Source organism: Homo sapiens, chromosome 4 (genome assembly GCF_000001405.40).
Source record: "Homo sapiens chromosome 4, GRCh38.p14 Primary Assembly".
Lineage (NCBI taxonomy): Eukaryota > Metazoa > Chordata > Mammalia > Primates > Hominidae > Homo > Homo sapiens.
Window position 1 is genome coordinate 128,009,428 of NC_000004.12, and position 20,799 is coordinate 128,030,226.

The 20,799-nt window shown below is 40.6% G+C and overlaps 1 protein-coding gene across 19 annotated transcripts in view, besides 1 other annotated feature; it reads left to right on the top strand.

Moving 5' to 3' along the window:
• ABHD18 (abhydrolase domain containing 18) overlaps nucleotides 1-20,799 on the top strand; it is a 74,548-nt gene that overhangs the window by 44,022 nt on the left and 9,727 nt on the right. For 8 of the 19 annotated variants that reach the window (NM_001358454.3, NM_001358451.3, NM_001319305.3 and 5 more), the window contains 5 exons: nucleotides 2,246-2,273; nucleotides 7,936-8,074; nucleotides 10,653-10,742; nucleotides 11,710-11,811; nucleotides 19,048-19,426. In NM_001358454.3, the coding sequence (NP_001345383.1) occupies nucleotides 2,246-2,273; nucleotides 7,936-8,074; nucleotides 10,653-10,742; nucleotides 11,710-11,811; nucleotides 19,048-19,426 (738 nt within the window). Of the gene's footprint in view, nucleotides 1-121; nucleotides 195-2,245; nucleotides 2,868-7,935; nucleotides 8,075-10,652; nucleotides 10,743-11,709; nucleotides 11,812-19,047; nucleotides 19,427-20,799 lie in introns of all 19 variants that reach the window. The other 11 variants (NM_001366042.3, NM_001366040.3, NM_001319307.3 and 8 more) reach the window with 5 other exon arrangements.
• Nucleotides 19,132-19,301: an enhancer, noted in NCBI's record as "experimental_73920 CRE fragment used in MPRA reporter constructs". NCBI's record gives its function as "activates a minimal promoter by MPRAs in K562 erythroleukemia cells, with activity observed for the non-introgressed 4:128949799 variant allele {active_cell/tissue: K562}" and the evidence as "EXISTENCE:reporter gene assay evidence [ECO:0000049][PMID:34662402]".

A 20,799-nucleotide genomic window follows, 5' to 3' on the forward strand; every position in this document is an offset into this window, starting at 1 on the left:
GGAGACTTATGCTAGATTTTAATATTAGTAAGTCAAATGTTTGCTATTAAGGAAACAATCATGTTTTAAATGCATTTACAGTATCAGTTGAGGTTTAGACAGTTCTTAACTTAATTTTCAAGATGACGTCAGACTATTCACAGAAGAAGAAATGAAACTGGTGCACAGATATAAAGAAATGTTCAACGTTGCTGGTAATAAATGTAGAGTTAAAACAACAATGATCAAATATTTTAAAAAAAACAGTACTGGTGAGGCTGCTTTGAAATGGGCACTCTTGTTACTAATGACTGAAAATTAGTTCAACCGTTTGAGAAAACATATTTTACCATATGTATCAGGAGCTTTGAAACATCATATCCCTTGACAAAATGATTTTGATTCTGGGAAATTTATTCTAAGGATAAAAACTAAGAAAAAATTAAATAACAAAAACATGTTTGTATAGCTTTAGTAAACATGTCAGTAAAGCATTAGAAATAGCTAAATGTCTAAAATAGAAATAGTTATGTAAACTGTGATTCATAATATTGGAATTTTATGCAATTGGTTGTATTCCATTTATTTCTCTACCTGTGTTATATTTATTTCTCTACCACTTACCACTTTTGTGACCTTGGACATGTTACATAACCTTTAGTACCTCAATTTTCTCATTGATAAATGGGAATAATCTCTTAGGTTATTGAGATTATTAAATGATTAATACTGTCTAGAACAGTGCCTGATAAATAATAAGCATTCAGTAAGTTTTAACTGTTATTATTAAAAAGTTTACAATAATGTATGACCAGTATTTCTGATGTGAATGTAGGATATAGGCCAGGTGCAGTGGCTCACGCCTGTAATCCCAGGACTTTGGGAGGCCGAGGTGGGCAGATGATCTGAGGTCAGGAGTTCGAGACCAGCCTGGCCAACATGGTGAAACCCTGTCTCTGCTAAAAATATAAAATTAGCCTGGCATGCTGGCATATGCCTATAATCCCAACTACTCAGGAGGCTGAGGCAGGAGAATCACTTGAACCCAGGAGACAGGTTGCAGTGAGCCAAGATCACACCATGGCATTCCAGCCTGGGCAAAAAGAGTGAAACTGTGTCAAAAAAAAAAAAGAAAGAAAAGGAAATAGGATATAAAACTCTATGGTGTGGCACAGGTATGCAAAAAAAAACTAAAAACAAAATCCAAAGCAAAAACTGTGCATTGGCCTGGCACGGTGGCTCACGCCCTGTAATCCCAACACTTTGGGAGGCCAAGGCAGGAGGATCACCTGAGGTCAGGAGTTCGAGACCAGCCTGGCCAACATGGCAAAACCCCTATCTCTACTAAAAATACAAAAATTAGCCAGGCGTGGTGGCGTGTGCCTGTAATCCCAGCTACTTGGGAGGCTGAGGCAGGAGAATCCCTTGAACCCAAGAGGCAGAAGTTGCAGTGAGCCGCCTGCACTCCAGCCTGGGCGACGGAGCAAGACTGCGCCTCAAAAAAAAAAAAAAAAAACCGTGGATAAAGAGAAATACACCAAAATGTTAATATGGTTGTCTGTAGATAAAGTAGTTGTTCTTTAATCTGATTTTTTGTACTTTTTGGATTTTCTATAATAAAAATTTTATGAACGAAATAAAAAATAAACTTCATTTTAAATTTAAATTGAAGAGTGTACAACCCTGTTAATTTACTGAAAACATTAATAAGTATACTTTATTGGCTGAATTATGTGATATATGATTTTTTTTTTTTTTTTGAGACGGACTCTCGCTGTCGCCCCAGGCTGGAGTGCAGTGGCACAATCTTGGCTCACTGCAGGCTCCGCCCCCCAGGGTTCACACCATTCTCCTGCCTCAGCCTCCCGCGTAGCTGACACTACAGGCGCCCGCCACCTCGCCCAGCTAATTTTTTGTATTTTTAGTAGTGATGGGGTTTCACCATGTTAGCCAGGATGGTCTCGATCTCCTGACCTCGTGATCCGCCCGCCTTGGCCTCCCAAAGTGCTGGGATTACAGGCGTGAGCCACCGCGCCCGGCCTATGTGATATATGATTATATCAGTAAAGCTGGTTTTTTTTTTTTTTTTAAAAAAAAGGAAAATAATTAAGTTGAAAACTTAAGAACTTCTAAACAGCCTACTTAAGATAATTAGAATGGAGTTATTTCAGTATTAAATTGTGTAAAATTTAACTATTTAATGTACTCTCAGACAAACAAAATTATTTAATTATTTTAAAACTTTCTCTTTGACCCACATTCTTAAATGGCTGCAGGAAACCCAAGGACCAAGTGTAAGTATATATCACTTTCATTTTTGCAGTCTTTTTACCCAATATCCAGCAGTATTAAAATTTTGGTTGCCTTCAGTTAACCATTTCTAAATTGAATACCTAAATATTATGGGGGGGGGGAGTTCTGTTATGAAACTGTAGTATGAATACTGACTTTAATTTTTATTTTTAAGATTTTTGCATTTTAATGTCTGTTAAGGAAATACAATAAAAAATTTTAACAGGTAGACTTAATATATAGTTTAGTTGTGAAACTGTAAATGAAGAAATGATAAAACCCTTTCTTTTTTTTTTTTTGAGACGCAGTCATTCTGTCACCCAGTCTGGAGTGCACTGGTGCGATCTCAGCTCACTGGAACCTCTGCCTCCTGGGTTCAAGCGATTCTCTGCCTCAGCCTCCCAAGTAGCTGGAATTACAGGCATGCACCACCACACCTGGCTAATTTTTGTATGTTTAGTAGAGATGGGCTTTCACCATGTTGGTCAGGCTGGTCTCAAACTCCTGACCTCAAGTGATCCACCCACCTTGGCCTCCCAAAGTGCTGGGATTATAGGCATGAGCCACTGTGCCCAGCCTACCTTTTCCTTTTTAAGGTACATTTACTTTGTGTAATTAGACACTTTATTCTTACAATGCATAGTATAGAAAATCTGAAGATAAACTTTCTCTTTTCAGTCTTTTAAAATGATAAACTCCAAGGCATTTCCATAATCTGTATTGTGTTTGGTTTGGTTCAGTCAATAAATATTTGACCCTAGACACTAGGAATACTGCAACAATAAGACAACATTTTCTCATAAAGTTCATATTCTAGTGTGGGAGATAGATAACAATAAATAAGGTGATTTCAGATATTTATCAATGACCAGTGAATGAAGTAAAGCAGGGCAATTGTATAAAGAGTAATATGGGATGCAGTGTAGTAACAGTATTATATATGAGAACATGATATAATGAGAAGGAGCCACCTGCATGAAGACTTGGAATAAGATCAGCCACAGAGAAGGAAAAGTAAATGAAAAGCCCAATGTAAGCGTCAGGAGGGGAGAGTAGTACAAGATGAGGTCAGAAAGATAGGCAAGGGCTGGCTGCAGTGGCTCACACATGTAATCCCAGCACTTTGGGAGGCCAAGGTGGGTGGATCACTTGGTGTCAGTAGTTCGAGACCAGCCTGACCAACATGGTAAAACCCTGTGTCTACTAAAAATACAAAAATTAGCCAGGCATGGTGGTATGCACCTGTAGTCCCAACTACTGGGGAGGCCGAGGCAGGAGAATCGCTTGAACCTAGGAGGCGGACGTTGCAGTGAGCGGATACCATGCTGCTGCATCCAGCCTAGACGACAGAGCAAGACTCCATCCCAAAAAAAAAAAAAAAAAAAAAAGACAAGGACCAGATGGTGAAAAGCCATCATGCTTTCAATGTGAATGATCTGAAAGTGCAATGGGAAGTGTCTAGAGGACTTTAAGCAGATGAGTGGCCTGATTTATATTTTTTAAAACCTACTTTGGCTACTTTGGTTTACTGGGACAAGAGTAGCAGCAGAGAAAACAAATAGGAAGCTATTGAAATGATGCAGGAAAGAGTAGTGACTTTAGTTTAACTAGGTAGTAGTGGAAATGGAGAGAAGTTTTCCTGAGTTCAAGATATAGTTAAGTTTAAATAATAGGACTTGTGTATGAATTGGATGGTGTGGGAGGGAAATCAAAAGTTCTGGGCCGGGCGCAGTGGCTCACGCCTGTAATCCCAGCACTTTGGGAGTCTGAGGCGGGCAGATCACAAGGTCAGGAGATTGAGACCATCCTGGCTAACACGCTGAAACCCCATCTCTACTAAAGATACAACAAAATCCGGGCGTGGTGGTGGGCACCTGTAGTCCCAGCTACTCAGGAGGCTGAGGCAGGAGAATGGCGTGAACCCAGGAGGCGGAGCTTACAGTGAGCCGAGATTGCGCCACTGCACTCCAGCCCGGGCGACAGAGCGAGACTCCGTCTCAAAAAAAAAAAAAAAGTTCTGACTTGGATGTGTCAAATTTGTAATTTCTGTTAAACCTGCAAGTGGAGAAATCAAGTAGGCAGTTGGAAAGTGCTGGAGATGTAGATTTGGAAGTCCCATGTTCTATGTGGTCATAGCATGAAAGAGGTATAGATGAAAGTAGGATGGGGTGGAGGCAAACCGGTATACTATGAAGAATGAAACTTGATAGTTTATAATGAACTTTGTGAAACCTTGTGAAAAATTAAAGGCCAAGCTAAGTAGTTGAAGAATTTCCACCTTTTTTTTTTTTTTTTTTTTTTTGAGATGGAGTTTCGCTCTTGTTGCCCAGGCTGGAGTGCAATGGCGTGATCTCTGCTCTCTGCAACCTCCGCCTTCTGGGTTCAAGCAATTCTCCTGCCTCAGCCTCCCGAGTAGCTGGGATTACAGGCATGCGCCACCACGCCCAGCTAATTTTGTATTTTTAGTAGAGACAGGGTTTCTCCATGTTGGTCAGGCTGGTCTCGAACTCCCGACCTCAGGTGATCCTCCCGCCTCAGCCCCCCAAAGTGCTGGGATTACAGGCAGCATCCACCGCGCCCAGCTGAAGAATTTCCACTTTGGAACCAAGCCCAGAATTCAGAATTAGGTATGTAATTTTTACCTTATCCATAAATTGGTTAAAAAGCAAGAAGAGTTTATTTAGGTCTAGTGAGAGGCAGCCTGGGTTTAATAGAAAGACTGACTTTGGAGTCATACAGGCATAGGTTGGAATTGTAACATTTGTTTACTGATTACCTCATTCATAAAATGGGAATACTATGTAATTTCTTCCATGTAGAAGTGTTGTGAGAATTATAATGTTTATAAAATATTCTATCACATACTGTATACTCAAGTCAAGAAATATAATAATGGCCCTATGTATTTGATTTTTCTCTAATAATTCATCATAAGAAATGGCTTACTGACTGGGTGCAGTGGCTTATACCTGTAATCCCAGCACTTTGGAAGGCTGAGATGGACAGATTGCATGAGTCCAGGAGTTCAAGACCAGCCTGTGCAACATGGCAAAACCCTGTCTCTACAAAATATACCCCCCGCCCCTAAAAAAAAAAATGGCCAGGTGCAGTGGCTCACGCCTGTAATCCCAGCACTTGGGAGGCCGAGGCAGGTGGATCACCTGAGGTGAGGAGTTCGAGACCAGCCTGGCCAACAGTGTAAAACCCTGTCTCTACTAAAAATACAGAAATTAGCTGGGCATGGTGGTGGGCACCTGTAATCCAACTACTCAGGATGCTGAGGCAGGAGAATCGCTTGAACCCAGGAGGCAGAGGTTGCAGTGAGCCAAGATCGCCCCATTGCACTCCAGCTTGAGTGACAAGCGCGAAACTCCATCTAAAAAAAAAAAAAAAAAAATTAGCCAGACATGATGGTGCACACCTGTAGTCCCAGGTACTCAGGAGGCTGAGGTGGGAGAATCACCTGAGCCTGGCAAGTCGAGGCTGTTGTGAGCCATGATCAAGCCACTTCACTCCAGCCTGGGCAATGAGAGTGAGACTCTGTCTCAAAAAAAAGAAAAAAGAAATGGTTTGCAATTTAAATCACAGATACTTCTCTGTCGCTCTCTCTTTTTAAAAAGCCATCTTAAGTCTGTTTTCATCAAAAGTGCTGAAACAATTTGAGACCGAGTCTACTATTATAAATAACTACTGTCCCAGAATTTCATATCAGTAACTTCTACTAAAAGAGCAATCTGGGGGACCTGAGAATTCAAGGCTCCCATACAAGGCTAAAAGAAAAAGTTGGGGAAATTGTGTAATCATAAATAGAAAAATGACTTGAGGATAGGAAACAAAGATAAGAATAATTTTTTTTTTTCTGATGAAGCATGACTATGATCTGTTTGGACGAAGGATAGCATAGTTTCCATAAAAAGAAACCCTCCCTTCTGGACTTAGAGCTCTGAGAGGACTTGGTAGGACAGTGGAAGTAAGCTCTTTGGGAGCCAAGATTTTGTTTTTCACACTTGGCATTCCTTCTGGCACCTGGTTCTTTGCACATATTATGTGTAGGCATATGATAAATAATCATTGGTAAAATGAATTTTTGTATACTTTGGCAAGGTTTCATTCAATAACCAGTTACATGTGTCTTAATACAAGTTACATTTTGAAAAGTAGATTCTAATTTGGTCATTTTAGTAATAATATATATTTATTTTGATCACTATATACGGATGGTTCTAGGACCCAAAAAGATATATTTAAATACTTTTTTTTTTTTTTTTTTTTGAGATGGAGCCTCACTCTGTCACCCAGGCTGGAGTGCAGTGGCGCAATCTCTGGCTCACTGCAACCTCCACCTCCCGGGCTCAAGTGATTCTCCTGCCTCAGCCTCCTGAGTAGCTGAGATTACAGGCGCGTGCCACCACGCCCAGCTAATTTTTGTATTTTTAGTAGAGACAGGGTTTTATCCTATTGGTCAGGCTGGTCTCTAACTCCTGACCTCATGATCTGCCCACCTTGGCCTCCCAAAGTATTGGGATTACAGGCGTGAGCCACTGTGCCCAGCTTAAATACTTTTTATAAGGAAATATACTTCTGTGTAAAATTAGCTTCTAAAAATGAAATTCCAGTTGGTCTTTATTTAAAACATGTATATTTATAAAAATGTATTTGTTTTATATTTTATTATATTCATAAATTATGTATTTTGTGAAAATAAGCAACATATTTGAGATTTCAGTAATACATGAGCCTAGTGTTTGGTTAAATTCTTTATTTATATTGCCTTTTTTAAAAGTTATGCTTTAAGACTGGGCGTGGTGGCTCACGCCTGTAATCCCAGCACTTTGGGAGGCTAAGGCAGGCAGATCACTTGAGCTCAGGAGTTCAAGACCAGTCTGGCCAACATGGTGAAACCCCGTCTCTGCTAAAAATACAAAAATTAGCCAGGCGTGGTGGCTCACGCCTGTAATTCCACCTACTCAGGAGACTGAGACAGGAGAATCGCTTGAACCCTGGAGGTGGAGGCAGCAGTGAGCCAAGATCCATGCCACTGCAACTCTAGCCTGGGCAACAGAGCAAGACTCCGTCTCAAAGAAAAATAAAAAGTTATGCTTTAAATTCTGTTATAATAATTTCAGTAAAGATTATGTGCTATAGAACAGGAACACTTTTTTTTGTTAAGTTTTAGGTGATTTGATATGTAATCCAATGTTAGCAGCTGTGTAATTCTATTTTTTTTTTCTCTTTTTGAGACAGGGTCTCATTCTGTTGCCCAGGCTGGAGTACAGTGGTGCAGTCTCAGCTCACTGCAGCCTCTGCCTCCCAGGTTCAAGCGATTTTCATGCCTCAGTTTTCCACGTAGCTGAGATCACAGGCATGCGCCACCATGCCCTGCTAATTTTTGTATTTTTAGTAAAGACAAGGTTTCACCATGTTGCCCAGGCTTGTCTTGAACTCCTGACCTCAAGCGATCCCCCTGCCTCAGCCTCCCAAAGTGCTGGGATTACAGGCGTAAGCCATCACGCCTGGCCCTAATTCCAATTTATTACATTGTTTTACTTAACTATCTGGTCCTTTAGAAGAGATGCATGAAGTCTGGCAGCCTGTTGTAAATTTGCATATATTAGCATGTAAATACATAAAATAATCATTTTCTATTTTGTTTTGTGAGGCTAGAAGGTCCAGCTTAAAAAATGTGTCCGACCTTTTTGTGATGGGAGGAGCTCTTGTTTTAGAATCTGCAGCTCTCTTGCACTGGCTAGAGAGGGAAGGTTACGGCCCTTTAGGAATGACTGGAATATCCATGGGAGGACACGTAAGCCTTTTTATTTCTGCTTACATTTAATTATGTTTATGTTTGTAAGATCTAGAGAACCTGGTTATTTTAAAAATTCACTTTAGGTATAGAATTAGTTTTAGTAAAAGTAGGAAGCAGAAACAGATTCCAAACTCTTACTCCAATTATGAAGTAATGATGTTAATTTTTTGTACGATTTATTGATTGTACTACTCCACAGTTGTATCTCAGATATTAGATTTAACAGAAATTAATTATAAAATTTAACTTTTCAAGTCTCAAGTATAAATGCCCAATTTTGCTGTTACATTGGTGAAGATAGCTGAATTGGAAAATACTTTCCATTTATCTGTCTCCCTAGTACCACTAACCTATTTTACTTTTTGTCTGCCTTTTAGAGTGTACTAAAATGGATTCCTAATTGCTTTCTCTGTCTCTAGTCTTTTCTCTTATTAATCTTTGTCTTAACCATTTCTCCTCCACACCCTAACTACAGTGATCTTTCTAAATCTAGTCTTTGTTCTGTCTTGTTCAAAACCTGCCAAAAGCTTGCGTGCACACTGGGCTCCAGCTGTGTCACGTGCTAGCATCTCTCTAGTGCTCCCTTATTCTCTTTCACCTAGGAGTAACAGCTTACCCTTCTGTTTCAGCTGTGACACCCAGCCTTACCTCCAGACTATACTTCAAACTCTGATTAGTAACTTTTTACTGTACTTTACTGACTTGTTTAGCAGTCTGTTTTCTCCATGAAGCATTTGAGATATTGAGGGCCAGGAATATGCTCTGGTTTATTACTTGGCACATATTAGTCACTCAGTACATTTTTAAAAAATTATTAGTATTTTGTTTGTGTGTGGGCTCAAGTGATCCACACAGTTTGGCCTCCCAAAGTGCTGGGATTATAGGTGTGGGCCACTGCACCTGGCCTAAAAAATAATAATACCCCAACCTAGGCAACATAGTAGTAAGACCCACCCTGTCTCTACAAAAAAAATTGTTTAAAAAATTAGCCAGGCATGGTGGCACATCTCTGTAGTTGTGGCTACATGGGAGGTTGAGGTGGGAGGATCACTTGAGCCCCAGAATTTGAGACTGCAGTGAGCTGTGATCATACCACTGCACTCCTGATTAGGTGACCCAGACAGAAGCGAGATTCTATCTCAAAGTAATAATTATTATTATATGAAGTTTCTGTATGCCTCTTGAATTAGAAAATTAAGCTCAAAAACTTACTCAAATTCAAAACTATGCTGGGCACGGTGGTTCACACCTGTAATCCCAGCACTTTGGGAGGCCGAGGCGGGCAGATCACCTGAGGTCAGGAGTTCAAGACCAGCCTGACCAACATGGTGAAACCCCGTCTCTACTAAAAATACAAAAACTAGCCGGGTGTGGTGGCACGTGCCTGTAATCCCAGCTACTCAGGAGGCTGAGGCAGGAGAATCGCCTGAACCCAGGAAGCGGAGGTTGCAGTGAGCTGAGATCGCACCACTGCACTCTAGCGTGAGCAACAGAGTGAGACTACATCTCAAAAAAAAAAAAAAAAAAAATTCAAAACAACTACCTGACAGTGAAACAAAAGATGGAAAAGGATTTATTTTCCTACCTAGTAGTGTTTCCATTGTTATCACCTAGGTCAGGTCCTTATAACTTTCACCTGGATTACTGCCTATTAACTGGTCTCCTACCTCAGTTCTCCCCTTCTCTATTCAATCCTGTAAACTACTATCATGTTACCTTCTTTGAATCACTTCTTTGACAATACTACTCCTTTGCTCAGACCTCTTTATTAATTCCCGATTATCTATAGAACAAAGGACCTCTAATCTGATCTTGATCAATCTTTCTAGCCCTACTTACCTCCCTCACTCCATTGGCCATGTGTGCCTATTGACCATCCCAACTGAAGTATATTGGCTGTTTCCCTATGAGACCCTGTGCATTCTCACAGTCTTGCCTTTGATCATACTGATTCTTTCTCTGGAAGACAAGACCCTATCTTTCATTCCTCTAGAAGACTCATCCATTTCATGAAGCCTGCCTTTCCCTTCTGATTCCTCCAGCCCAGAAGGGAAAGTAACTTTTTGAAAAGATAAAGTTTTCCCTTCTCCAAAAGGGAGAGTGATTTTACCTTCTCTAATCACACACATTACATTATTTTAGATCTATTATATAATCTGCTTTGTAGTTCACCAAATTCTTGGCATACTCAGTCAACCTCAATGGTCTGATGTTTTATAGTTGTGATTTTGCTCTATCTGGCAAGTCACTTAAGTAATGAGTGTGTTTACCCTGCTGCCCAGCATCTACATCTCAGCATCTTTGCTCCATATTTACACAGTAGAAAGTAGCTCTCAGCGAATGGTCTTGAGGTTAAAGTTTTGTATTACATTTTATTGCTATCTAAGGGGGAAATTAAATGTTGAATTTATGATTTGGGGAATTTAATGAGGTGGCTAGACATTCTCACGAATGTTTGCAGACTTTGTGTTTATCTGACCAACTATTTACTGCACGGAATGCTTATTAATATTAAATATTTTTATTTTAATGAATAGAAACTCTAAATAGACGCTCTCTATCTGTTATATTACAGATGGCTTCCTTAGCGGTATCCAACTGGCCTAAGCCCATGCCATTGATTCCATGCCTGTCTTGGTCCACAGCATCTGGGGTCTTCACTACGGTAATTTAATTGTAATTAATATTAGGTAGCTATATATAATTAGAGGTAATTGTTTTGGGGGGGTCCCCAAAACCACCCTCAGCTTTGGTGATTCAAAGAAAGAATTATAGGACTCAGGATATAGTCGTAATCATGATTAAGCCTTAACTACAGCAAAAGATACAACACAGTCAACAGAAGGAAAAAGCGCATGAGGTAGAGTCCAAAGGAAACCAAGAACAAGCTTCCAAGAGTCCTCTCCTAGTGGAGTGTTACAGTTCATGCTTAATTCTTCCAACAATAATTATTGACAATAAGTGCAAAGTGCTGTCCATCAGTGAAGCTCCCCTGAGCCTTGCAGTCCAGAGTTTTTATCAGGGGTTAGTGACTTAGATAACTTCTGCCTAGCATGCACCAAAAATTCAGAAGGAAAGCAGGTGTTCAGCAGAAACCGCATTGTTTATATAAGCAGTTTAGGTACAGTGACCCACTCTTATCATTTAGGAAAAGTTTTATATAAGTATAGAAAGCTGTTTACTGGTCAAGTTCCCAGACTCCAGTTAAGGGCCAACCTTACAAGCAGGCTAAAGATAGGAAGTCTTAGGCCAGGTGCGGTGGCTCACGCCTGTAATCCCAGCACTTTGGGAGGCTGAGGCTGGTGAACCACCTGAGGTCAGGAGTTCAAGACCAGCCTGGCCAACATGGTGAAACTCTGTCTCTACTAAAAATACAAAAATTAGCTGGGCGTGGTGGCACATGCCTGTAGTCTCAGCTACTTGGGAGGCGGAGGCAGGAGAATTGCTTGAACCCAGAAGGTGGAGGTTGCAGTGAGCCGAGATAGTGCCATTGCACTCCAGCCTGGGCAACAGAGTGAGACTTCGTCTGCAAAAAAAAAAAAAAAAGGTAGTCTCACACAGTAATAATAATAAAAGTATTGGGCAAATTGCCTTATGATGTGGTTTGATCTTAATTTAGCTTATTATTTCAGGGTGTGTTGAGTAAATCAATTAATTGGAGGGAGCTGGAAAAGCAATATTATACCCAGACAGTTTATGAAGAAGAAATTATTCACATGCTTGAATACTGTGGAGTAAGTATTTCACTTTCCACCCAACATTGGTGGTGGGGGGAGTTGATTGTATATTTAATGATTCAGGTTTTTAAAGAGAATAGCAAATTTTTAAAAACATAGCTGTACATACTATTTTTTACTTTAAAAGATTTTTCATTTTTGTCTGGGCATGGTGGGTCACACCTGTAACCCCAGCACCTTGGGATGCTGAAGTGGGTTGATCACTTGAGGTCAGGAGTTTGAGACTAGCCTGGCCAACCCCATCACTACTAAAAATACAAAAATTAGCCACGTGTGGTGGTAGGTGCCTGTAATCCCAGCTATTCAGGAGGCTGAGGCAGGAGAATCTCTTGAACTTAGGAGGCAGAGGTTGCAGTGAACCAAGATTGTGCCACTGCACTGCAGCCTGGGCGACAGAGTGAGACTCTGTCTTAAAAATAAATAAATAAAAATTCTTTTAAAATAAAACACAGATACAGAGAATCATGCAAAGCAAATATGTGGTTTACTACATTTATTAAAAGGCAAACACACTGTAACTAGTACCTAGGTCAAAAATAAAACTTGACCACCCAACCCAGAAACCCCTTCAAATGTGTCCTAATCACAAGGCCTTCCTCCCTGCATTATTAGTAATCGTTATCCTTATGTTTATAGTAATTACTCCTTCTGCCTTTAAAATAATTTTATTATCCAAATGTGTATCTGTAGACCCTATAGTTCTTTTATTTGAAGTACCTTTAATAAGTTGCCTTCCGATAGAAAACCAAACACCGCATGTTCTCACTCATAGGTGGGAATTGAACAATGAGAACACTTGGACACAGGGCGGGGAACATCACACACCGGGGCCTGTTGAGGGGTGGCGGGCTAGGGGAAGGATAGCATTAGGAGATATACCTAATATAAATGGCAAGTTGATAGGTGCAGCAAGCCAACATGGCACATGTATACCTATGTATCAAACCTGCACGTTGTGCACATGTACCCTGGAACTTAAAGTGTAATAATAAAAAATCAATCAATCAATCTGTAAAAAAGAAAAAAGATAACTTGCCTTCCATCCCTTTATTTTCCTTATAATTTATTTCATGAAGAATTTAGGTTATTTGACCTGTAGGGTTTCTCACAATCTAGATTTTTCTGATTGCATTCTCATGGTACAGTTCAGCATATTGCTCTACGTTGCCTGAAAATTGGCAGTTGGATCTAAAGGCTTGATTAAACTCATTGTTTTGATTTCTTTCACAAGGCTATATAGGAAACACATAATATCTGATTATCTCTTTTTTTATGATATAAGCCTCTACTGATGCTTAATGACTATATCAATTCATTGAAGGTTGCTGATATTCTATTATTTCTTTTTCATGTATTTGAATACTTTTATAGGGAGACACTTACCTCATATATTATTTAGTTACATGGTAGTTCAGTTTGTATAAGAAAGGCAGTTATGGTAAATGCTTGATTTTTTTTCTGTAATTTACCAGTTTTCAAGATGATGAATTGGTTTCCTACTGCTCTTCAAAAGTGACCGATCCTTTTCTTTTTTTTTTTTTTTTCTCTGTCTTGCTGTGTCGCCCAGGCTGGAGTGCAGTGGCACGATCTTAGCTCTCAGCTCACTGCAACCTCCGCATCCCAGATTCAAGCAATTCTCCTGCCTCAGCCTCCTGAGCAGCTGGGACTACAGGCACGCGCCACTATGCTTAGCTAATTTTTGTATTTTTAGTAGAGATGGGGTTTCACCATATTGGTCAGGCTGGTCTCAAACTCCTGACCTCCTGATACACCTGCCTCGGCCTCCCAGAGTGCTGGGATTACAGGCATGAGCCACCGCGCCCAGCAATCCTTTTCATGAATTTAAATTTTTTACTGTTTGAAAGATACTGAGACTCTTAAGAAACTTCAAAAAAAAGAAATCTTTCTACTATGAATGAGAACTTTTTATTTATAATTAAATCACTGTAAACTTTACTCTTGTAAAGTAGGTCTATCTCACGTAACTTCAAAAGGTAGTTGATTGCTTGCCTAAGAACTTTATTACAAAATAGCTTTATCGGGACCAGGCGTGGTGGCACATGCCTGTAATCACAGCAATTTGGAAGACTGAGGTAAGAGGATCACTTGAAGCCAGGAGTTTGAGACCAGCCTGGGAAATAAAGTGAGACTCTTGTCTCTACAAAAAAAAAAAAAAAAAAAAAAAAAAAAAAAGCTGGGCATGGTGGTGCATGCCTGTAGTCCTAGCTACTCAGGAGGCTGAGGTGGGCAGATCACTTGATCCCAGGAGTTCAAGGCTGTAGCAGTGAGCTATGATTGTGTCATTGCACTCCAGCCCAGGTGACAGAGCAAGACCATTTCTCTTAAAAAAAAAAAAAAGGCTGGGCGCAATGGCTCACCCTGTAATCCCAGCACTTTGGGAGGCCGAGGAGGGCAGATCACGAGGTCAGGAGATCGAGACCATATTGGCCAATACGGTGAAACCCCATCTCTACTAAAAATACAAAAAATTAGCCGGGCGTGGTGGCAGGCAGGCGCCTGCAGTCCCAGCTACTCGGGAGGCTGAGGCAGGAGAATGGCGTGAACCCAGAAGGCAGAGCTTGCAGTAAGCCAAGATCACGCCACTGCACGCCAGCCTGGGCAACAGAGCGAGACTCCGTCTCAAAAAAACAAAAAAAAGCTTTACCTGCTAGTTAGTTCCTATACATATAATCAGAAGAATACCTGTATTTGAAAGTTTATGAGAAACTTACATGTATGTTTTAAAGGAAGTTTATAAATTTTGGTCATCTGAAATTGCAATGTAGTTGTCTTAGTCAATTTTGTGTTGCTGTAACAGAATATCTGAGACTGGGAAATTTATAAGACCAGAGATATATGTGGCTCACAGTTCTGGAGGCTAGAAAGTCCAAGGTTGAGGGGCCCACATCTGGTGAGTGCCTTCTTGCTGCATTATTTCATGGCAGAAGGCATAAGGGCAAGAGAGAATGTGTGTGTGTGCAAAAGAGATAGAGGGAGGGAAGAGGCTGAACTCATTCTTTTATCAGGAATCCATTCCCGGTAACTAACCCACTCCCACAGTAAGGGCATTAGTCCATTTATGAGAGCAGAACCTTCATGGCCTAATTAAAGGTCCCACCTTTCAACACTATTACATTGGGGATTAAGTTTCCAACACATGAACTTTGGGGGACATATTTAAACCATAGCGGTAGTCTTATTTGGCACTTCTCATCTCACTTAGAACCAGTTCACAATAACGAATATTCAATAAATGTTAAGATGTTTTCCCTACTCTTTGTATTTTCCCAGTCAAAAAAAAAGTTCAATTTATTGATGTCCCACTCTGAGTAATTCGGGGACCCTTTGATCTTTACATTTCCATATGTTACTAAACTTCCTTCCTCTTATAGTGATTTGTTGTGGTAACCAGGTTGTTCGGTATTTTTGTTTTCCTTGCCTTCAACCAATTTTAATTTTTTTTTTTTTTGAGATGGAGTTTCACTCTTTTGCCCAGGTTGGAGTGCAGAGGCACAATCTTGGCTCGCCGCAGCCTCCGCCTCCTGAGTTCAAGCGATTCTCCTGCCTCAGCCTCCCGAGTAGCTGGGATTACAGGCATGTGCCACCACGCCCGGCTAATTTCGTATTTTTAGTATAGACGGGGTTTCTCCATGTTGGTCGGGCTGGTCTCGAACTCCTGGCCTGAGGTGATCCTCCCACCTCGGCCTTCCAAAGTGCTGGTATTACAGGCGTGAGCCACTGCGCCCGGCCAACCAATTTTAATTCTTTAACTTAAAAAAAAAATGTATGGTCATATAATTCAAGCATCAAAAAGTATAAATAGATACATATAGTGAAAAGATTCCTACCCCATCTGTGCTTAGGTCCAATCCCCATCAACAAATAACAACCTATATTGTTTAGTGTTTCAGGGAATTTTTGGTCCATGTGCAAACCAATAAAAATATGAACTTTTTTTATCTTTTTCTTTTTATTTTGTTGAGGTAGGGTCTGGCTCTGTCACCTTCTACCTCAGCCTCCTGAGTAGCTGGGATTATAGGTATGCACCACCACACCTGGCTAATTTTTGTATTTTTTGTAGAGATGGGATTTCACAATGTTGCCCAGGCTTGTTTCAAACTCCTGGGCTAAAGCAATCTGCCTGCCTCAGCCTCCCAGAGTGCTGGGATTACAGGTATGAGCCACTGTGCCCAGCCTCACTTCCCTTTTTTATGGACTATACAAAGTGTTTCCTTATTATTTTTTACTGCTATATAATAGTCTATTATGTGAATGGATGTACCATAATTAATCAGTACCCTGTTGATAGATGTTTATGTTGTTTCTCATCTTTTGCTATTAATAAACAGTGCTGCAGTGAGTAACTTTGTACATTCATGTTATATAAGTGTAAATTCCTAGAAATATGATTGCTGAGTCAAGGGTATAATAATGTAGTTAGATTTTGTCTAATTCTGGTTATGTCAGTTTACACCACCAGCAGGAATGTGTCTTTCTTCATAAGTTCTCAAATTCAGTGTGTTATCAAACTTTAGTTTTTATTTTTTGTCAACTGGCACTGGAAAATGGCGTAGTTTTAATTAACTTAAGCATGAGGGAAGTTGAGCAAGTTTTTATAAGTTTAAGAGCAGTTTGGCTGGGCACGACGGCTCACACATGTAATCCCAGCACTTTGGGAGGCCGAGGTGGGCAGATCATGAGGTCAGATTGAGACCATCCTGGCCAACACGGTGAAACCCCGTCTCTATTAAGAATATAAAAAATTGGCCGGGCATGGTGGCTCACGCCTGTAATCCCAGCAGTTTGAGAGGCCAAGGCTGGCAGATCACCTGAGGTCAGGAGTTTGAGACCAGCCTGGCCAACATGGTGAAACCCCGTCTCTACTTAAAATACAAAAATTAGCCGGGCATGGTGGCAGGCACCTGTAATCCCAGCTACCCGGGAGGCTGAGGCAGAGAATTGCTTGAACCCAGGAGGCAGAGGTTGCAGTGAGCCAAGATCATGCCATTGCACTCCAGCCTGGAGGACAAGAGCGAGACTTCTTCTGAACAACAACAAAAAAAAAAAATTAGCCAGGCATGGTGGCATGCGCCTGTAGTCCCAGCTACTCAGGAGGCTGAGGCAGGAGAATCGCTTGAACCCAAAAGGGTGAAGTTGCAGTGAGCTGAAATCGTGCCATTGCACTCCAGCCTGGGTGACAGAGTAAGACTCCACCTCAAAAAAAAAAAAAAAAGAGCAGTTTGTATTTTGTTTTCTGTTGCCCTTATGTGTATATCCTTTGCTCATTTGGGGGTTCTGGGCTTTCAAAAAAATTATTCAATTCTAGCTCTTAATAAATTAAAGTGATTTGCCATTTGTAATATGAGTTGCAAATATATTTTCCCAGGCTGTCATTTTTTCTTTTGACTTTGGTTTTAGCATATAACAAAGTTTATTTTTACTTAAATTCTATTGTACAGTCATGCTCTGCATAACAATGCTTCAGTCACATATATAAGGTGGTCCAAAAGATTGTAATACCATATTTTTACTATATCTTTTCTTTTTCTTTTTTTTTTTTTTGAGACGGAGTCTTGCTCTGTCGCCCAGGCTGGAGTGCAGTGGCACAGTCTCTACTCATTGTAACCTCCGCCTCCTGGGTTCAAATGATTCTCCTGCCTCAGCCTCCCAAGTAGCTGGGATTACAGGTGCCCACCACACCTGGCTAATTTTTATATTTTAGTAGAGACAGAGTTTCACCATGTTGGCCAGGCTAGTCTTGAATTCCTGACCTCAAGTGATCAACCCACCCTTGGCCTCCCAAAGGGCAGGGATTACAAGCATGAGCCACCGTGCCTTGCCTACTGTACCTTTTCTATGATTAGATACACAAATACTTACAATTGTGTTACAATTGCCTACAGTATTAAGTACAGTAACATGTTGTACAGGTTAGTAACCTAGAAACAATAGATTATACCATATAGCTTGGGTGTGTAGTCAGCTATACCGTCTAGATTTACGTAAATACATTGTGATGTTCACACAACAATGAAACCACCTAGTGATGCATTTCTCAGAACATATCCCATCATTAAGCAACACATAAGTGTATTTACAAGTCCTTAAACTTAGAATATAGTTTTGAGACTTTAATAGGCAATATTTCTTTTTTTCTTGATAATTTTTTTCTTTTTTTTTTTGAGACGGAGTCTCACTCTGTCGCCCAGGCTGAAGTGCAGTGGCACGATATCAGGTCACTGCAACCACTGCCTCCCAGATTTAAGCGATTCTCCTGCCTCAGCCTCTCGAGTAGCTGGGATAACAGGCACACACCATCATGCCCGGCTAAATTTTGTATTTTTAGTAGAGACAGGGTTTTGCCATGTTGGCCAGGATGGTGTCGATCTCCTGACCTCGTGATCCGCCTGCTTCAGCTCCCCAAAGTGCCGGGATTACAGGCGTGAGCCACCGCGCCTGGCCAGTAATTTTAAATTCTGGTTAGTTCAACCAGAGAAAGGGATTTGGAGAAGCTGGTATCCTCCTGTGCTTGAATTTACATTACTCAGTTGTAAGACTTTTGGAAGTTCAAAGGTTAAGGCAGATCATGGATTTTAAAACTTTGGCTATAAAAAAAAATGATGCAGGCTAAATGATACCCTTTACTGTTTAGTAGGAAACAGCAATAAAGTGTAAGTCATTTATCTTAGTCGTGAGTTAAATTTTAATACATCTTTGTTTTTTAAAAAAGTCATGGTAAATATATACAACATAAAATTTACTATCATAACCATTTTTAAGTGCATAGTTCAGTGGCATTAAGTATATACATGTTGTGCAACCATCACCACCATCTATCTCCAAAACATTTTTATCTTCTCAAACTGAAACTTACCCATTGAACAAAACTATTCATTCCTCCCTTCTCCCAGTCTCTGGCAACTGCCATTCTCTTTCCATCGCTATGAATTTTACTACTATAGGGACCTCATACAAGTGGAATCATACAATATTTGTCCTTTTGTGTCTGGCTTATTCACTTAAGATAATGTCTTCAGTGTTCATCCATGTTGTGGCATGTGTCAGAATTTCATTCCTTTTAAGACTGCATAATGTTTAATTGTTTGAATATACTACATTTTATTTATCCATTTATTCATTGATGGACATTTGTCTTTTCTCTTTTTTTTTTGACAAAGCTGTTAATACCCTATTTTATATTAAATAATGTTTTCTTTCCTTTCATATGTTCAGACAGATTCTTTCAAAATGGGACAAGAGTTTGTGAAACACTTCACTAGCAGTGCAGACAAGCTAACTAACCTTAATCTGGTTTCCAGAACTTTAAATTTAGATATATCAAACCAAGTTGTATCCCAAAAACCTGCTGACTGCCATAATTCTAGCAAAACATCTGTCAGTGCGACATCAGAAGGACTCTTATTGCAAGATACCTCTAAGATGAAGCGCTTCAATCAAACACTTTCAACCAACAAAAGTGGTTATACAAGTCGCAACCCTCAGTCATACCACCTACTTAGTAAAGAACAAAGCAGAAACAGTCTTCGGAAAGAGTCTTTAATATTTATGAAAGGAGTCATGGATGAATGTACTCATGTAGCAAATTTCTCAGGTACTAATTTTTATATGAAATTGAGAATATTTGCTGATGTGTAAGTATTTGTGAAATATTTTAAAAGATGCTCTATAAGATAATTTTATATTTTCAAGGGTATATTTTTTTGTTGGCTCCAGAATATGTTTGCAAAGATAAGTTGGTTACTTAAATGTATCATATTCTATCTATGAAAATTTAAGATTATCTTATTCATTAAGAAACACACTGGACAGCCGGGTGTGGTTGCTCATGCCTGTAATCCCAGCATTTTGGGAGGCTGAGGCAGGTGGATTGCTTGAGCCCAGGAGTTCAAGACCAGCCTGGGTAACATGGTAAAACCCTGTCTCTACCAAAAAAAAAAATACAAAAAAGTAGTCATGTGTGGTGTTGCAAGCCTGTAGTTCCAGCTACTTGGGAGGCTGAAGTGGAAGGATCGCTTCAGCCCAAGGAGTTGGAGGTTGCAGTGAGCCAAGATCACACCACTGCACTCCATCCTGGGTGACAGCAAGACTCTCACACACACACACAAACACACATACACACACTCTCACACACTCTGGAGCTGGACACAGTGGCTCACGCCTATAATCCTAGCACTTTGGGAGGCTGCGGTGGGAGGACCGCTTGAGCCCAGGAGTTTGACACCAGCCCGGGCAACATAGTGAGACCCTGTCCTTATCAAAAATGTAAAAATTAGCTGGGTGGCCGGGCCCAGTGGATCACGCCTGTAATCCCAGTGCTTTGGGAGGCCAAGGCGGGTGGATCACTTGAGGTCAGGAGTTTGAGACCATCCTGGCCAACATGGTGAAACCTCATCTCTACCAAAAATATAAAAAATTAGTTGGGCGTAATGGTGTGTGCCTGTAATCCCAGCTACTCAGGAGGCTGAGGCAGGAGAATCATTTGAACCCGGGAGGTGGAGGTTGCAGTGAGCAGAGATCATGCCACTGCACTCAGCCTGAGTGACAGAGTGAGACTCCATCTCAAAAACAAAAATAAATTAGCTGGGTGTGGTGGCATATGCTTATAGTCCCATCTACTCAGAGGCTGAGGCAGGAGGATCCCTTGAGCCCAGGAATTCAAGGTGGCACTGAGCTATGATTGCACCACTGCACCCTAGCCTCGGTGACAAAGTGAAACTCTTATCTCCCAAAAGAAAAACACTGGATTGCTGAGTGTGGTGGCATTCACCTGTAGTCCCAGCTACTCAGGAAGTTAAGGAGGGAGGATCACTTGAGCCCAGGAGTTCAAGGCTGTAGTGCACTATGATCTTGCCAATGAATAGCCACTGCATTTCAGCCTGGGCAATACAGTGAGATCCCATCTTTAAAATAAATGATTGAGGCGATGCATACCTTACGTACTCTGATGTGATTATTATGCATTGC